This window comes from Homo sapiens, chromosome X (assembly GCF_000001405.40).
Source record: "Homo sapiens chromosome X, GRCh38.p14 Primary Assembly".
Taxonomy (NCBI): domain Eukaryota; kingdom Metazoa; phylum Chordata; class Mammalia; order Primates; family Hominidae; genus Homo; species Homo sapiens.
In genome coordinates this window covers 131,674,126-131,678,435 of record NC_000023.11, presented here as the reverse complement: position 1 = coordinate 131,678,435, position 4,310 = coordinate 131,674,126, and the positions used below count along the sequence as shown (strand labels likewise).

At 44.2% G+C, this 4,310-nt stretch overlaps 1 annotated feature.

The window, feature by feature from the left end:
- Window positions 2,570-2,619: a silencer, noted in NCBI's record as "silent region_21000". NCBI's record gives its function as "represses an Ori minimal core promoter by ATAC-STARR-seq in GM12878 lymphoblastoid cells {active_cell/tissue: GM12878}" and the evidence as "EXISTENCE:reporter gene assay evidence [ECO:0000049][PMID:35858748]".

Here is a 4,310-nt window from a genome sequence, read left to right as displayed (position 1 = left end):
GGAGAGGGGAGCAGGCAGGCTACCGGGGCCTTACTCCAGAGGGCAGAAAGGAGAGCATGATGGGCTGGGCCTGGTCTCAGAGGGAACCCAGGCTACTGGGCAGAAGGAGGACTCCGGGGGCCCCAGGCCAGGCCCTGATGGCCAACAAAAGGTAAGGGGCTCAACAGGATTCTCTCAGGGAAGGGGCCGCCCCTGTCCTCTCCATGCCAAGACGGCCTAAACTCCACCAAGAAGTTCTCGTGGGTGGAGTTCCCTCAGCCAGAGCCACCCGCAACAGGAGCAGGCTTCTCTTGCCACCACTTCCCAACCCTCCAGCTGTGGCCCTTACATTGTGTGTGTTCCAAAACCCACTGCGGATCTTATGGCAGCTGCGGGAAAATGCACTAGAATTGCTGATACAGAGGATTCTAGGAGTTTTGCTTTCTCAGAACCTCCCCTCCCCTCCCCTCCCCTACCAAGCCCCGGGTTAGGAGCCCCTGCTCCCCACATCTCTCAGCCTCCCACCTGGGAGTTTCCCCCCTGGCAGGTTCTGCGTCGGGTGTCATACGTCCCAGTGGCCACGAGATGGCGAAAGAGGTCTTGGCAGCACCCGTCACCTCTTCAGGGCTGTTTTTCCTGTTCAATGGGTGAAATTAGGGCCCAGGACCAACCAGCGCCCCCATATCTCTCACAGGAATGTGAGAAGGAATGAAGGCTGGAAACTACTTTCTGCTGCCACCTGGGATACTCCTCCCTTTACAGTCCTCTCCCTTTCCAGATCGCACAGTGTGACTGAGCATTTCCACTAATAACATGGATAGCATAGGCGCTGGGGATGTCGCTGTCTTTGGCTGTCCCCGTGTTTCTTGTACCTACTGCCTCCCTCCCCACGTGGTAGGGGACTGGGGGTTCAGCTGCTCTTTTGACCTCAGCATAATTGATGCCAACAACTAACAGTACTGTAGGCTTAGCTGAGGACTGGTGTCACATCTTAGTAGCGGTTTGACTTTGAGCTAGTTAGTTAACCTCTCTCTGCTCAGGTTTCCTTACGTACTCAATGAGGATTGTCATAGCGTACCTATGTCATGAGGTTATTGTGAGGCTGAAATAAATGAATATCTCTAAAACACTTATGACAATGCCTGGCACATAACCAAGCACCCAATGTATGTTAGCTATTCTAATTTGTCATCTTGGCCTGCAGAGTAAGGCCTCAATCATTATCTGTTTTTCTTGGCATTTCCCATCTTGAGCTCCTAGGTTTTGACTATGGACTGTATCTCTGGTGTCATCAACTATGTCTGGCAGTTGGTAACTGCTTTTTGGTCTGAGTTTTCTACAAAGTCTTAGTGTTGATTTTATTACTATGCACTGGTTGAGATAGGCCTTAACAGTATATTTCTGGAGTTGTAGTGTTCTCCTGGAACTGGGACAGTAGAAGCTAATCCCTCAATTCATGGTCAAAAACTTTCCCCTCTGGCATAAATCTTTGATCCTGGGAGCACAGAATCAGATACCACGCAGAAAATGCTGCCCAGGTGACACTAGCTAAGCTTTCCCTAGGAAATCTTGTGCCCACTCAAGTATATGATACTACTTGATAATGACTAGTGACAGGCTCCATGGTTTCCCAATGGCTCACCTGCCACAGAGAATTGTGCACAATATTCATGTTGCTCCGGAATTTCCTTCCTGTATCTGTCTTACATTTTCTTTTTTATCTTTTCCAAAAATTGACATCTAAATCACATATGATAATGTTCACCCTTTTAGACTGCACAATTTAGTGTTTTTTTTAGTATATTCACAAAGCTTTGCAACAATCACCATTATCTCATTCCAGAACATTTTCATCACCTCAAAAGAAAACTTCATACCCATCAAACAGTTATTGCTCATTCCCGACTCCTACTCCCAGCCCCTGACAACCACTATTTTCTGTGTTTATGAATTTACCTATTCTGTGTATTTCACTTAAATGGAATCATACAGTACGTAGCAGTTTGTTTCTAAGTTCTTCCACTTAGCATGATGTTTTCAAGGTCCACTTATGTAATCGCATGTATCAATATTTTTTCTTCCTTCCTTTTTATGGCTGATAAATGGATAAACAAAATGTAATATATCATCCCTGTCTTTTTGAGGTGTATGAATAGGTGGGGCAAATGTAACATTCCAGGATTGAGATAACAAGTCTTTATACAATATGTCCCTTTTGTTTCAGGACCAGGACCACATGTTCTCCTAATCTTGCCGTTTTCAGATCAGGAGCCTCCTTTTGTTTTCACACAGTTGTGATGTGGCACTCAATTTCTCACCTTCACCCCAGTTGCTTAGCTTTGCCATTGGGAAGACATGCCAGGAACTTTCCTGGACTGTGTTCTTCTAGTCCTGGGATGACCTAGATATCTCAGAATAAGTCACTTTTTCAGCCTACCTCCATCCCAGAGATGTGCCTTTGTAAACAGAGAATGGACTCCTAAGGCCCTTGCTTGTGGGTCAGTGTACCCACCAAATCTTGGGTAGATTCACCAAAGTGGGAGCCAGTCCTGCCCTTAGAGAACATTTCTGACCTTTTCTGCCCCCACACTATTACCAAACCTCTTTTCCCCTCTGTAATGTGGGGTTGGGTGTACTGTACAAGCATAAGATGCTGGTAGAGACCACAAGATGGTGATAGAGAGCTTGCCTGGACGTTTCCTCTTTGACTCCTGAGTTTGAGGGCAGCTATTTCATTTAACTCAATTTTCCTCACTCCACTATACATACAAAGCACCTACTATGTCATGGCCCTGTGCTAGGATCTCCCTCTGAGTGACAGAGTTCACAGAATGACTCAAACTACAAGATGCAAGATCTGAACTCTTCACAAATGAGCAGCTTCCACATCCCACAACCTGATTTTTTTTCTCAAAAGGGACAAACTAAAGAAATGAAATCCCGGGCTGGGCACGGTGGCTCATGCCTGTAATCCCTGCACTTTGTGAGGCCGAGGCGGGTGAATCTTTTGAGGTCAGGGGTTCAAGGCCCACCTGGCCAACATGGTGAAACCCAGTCTCTACTACAAATTCAAAAAAATTAGCTGGGTGTGGTGGAGGGTGCCTGTAATCCCAGCTACTGGGAGGCTGAGGCAGGAGAATCACTTGAACCCTGGAGGCAGAGGTTGCAGTGAGCCGAGATCGCACCATTGCACTCCAGCCTGGGCGAATGAGTGAGACTCCGTCAAAAACAAAACAAAACAAAACAAAAAAAACCCTTAAAAAGAACGTGTCCCTTAACATGTTCCATCATGACCGCATGCTCTCCACATCCCATTATACTAATTAGCTTTCCTGAGGTGGACTTGCAGCTCCACACATGCTCATGCACAACTGTGGAGCATGAGCTTGCCCATGGGCTCAAGATAGGTTCTCGTGTGTCTCAAATATTGTATACTGCAATATTTTCAAGGGCAGGGACAATGCATTTGTCATATTTTACTTATATATTCTGTCAGTATTTTTGAGTGTCTCCAACTTGCCAAGCATAGTGCTAATTTATGTGTAAACAATGGTGAGTTAAAGAGCATCCTCATGCACATGGAGTTTATTTTGTTTCCATCTGGATAGGCACAGTGCCTAGTACATATTAGAAGTTTAGTCAACGTTTGCACGACTGTTCGTTTATATGAAAGATGGTAATTTTCAGGATGTGACATTCACATTTTCAAGTTGTGACGATGATTTTAATTCTGGCCCATTCCATTAAGTTGCCTGAGTGAAAAATAATAACACTTTCAGTGAGCTTAAACAGTTCAACTAAAGGATATAGGTAATAGATTTAAATGTTAGTAAATCCTGCTAAGAGGATTACAAAGGGTAATTTCAAAAGCTTCTGCTCTAGGGTTACCGAGGGAGGTGAAGGATCTTTAACGTTAAAAGTAAGGACTTTTGCAATGCTTAGTACTATTCTCTTTAACTATTGGAGACCCAGTACATTTGTATATATTAGCCAGTACAACTCATAATTTTTCTTTACATTAGATGGCGTGTTTAATCTTATTTTCTGTTGCAATGTATCTACTCTGATAAAACATAATTTTGGGCCTATAAAATTCTGCCTAAGCCTGATTATCTGTCTAAAGAATTCCACAGATATAGGTGTTTTACCTAGCTTGTGGGACAGAAGATTGAGAAAATTTGTAATTGTTTCCAATGTGTCTCTTAATGTCACAGAGAGACCACCAGAGGAGCCAATACATACACTTAGGTAAAGCATAGGGATTTGTGTACAAATATTTTTATTCAATCCTTGCTAAGAATAAATGTCTTACCAAAATATAGAAAGGACAA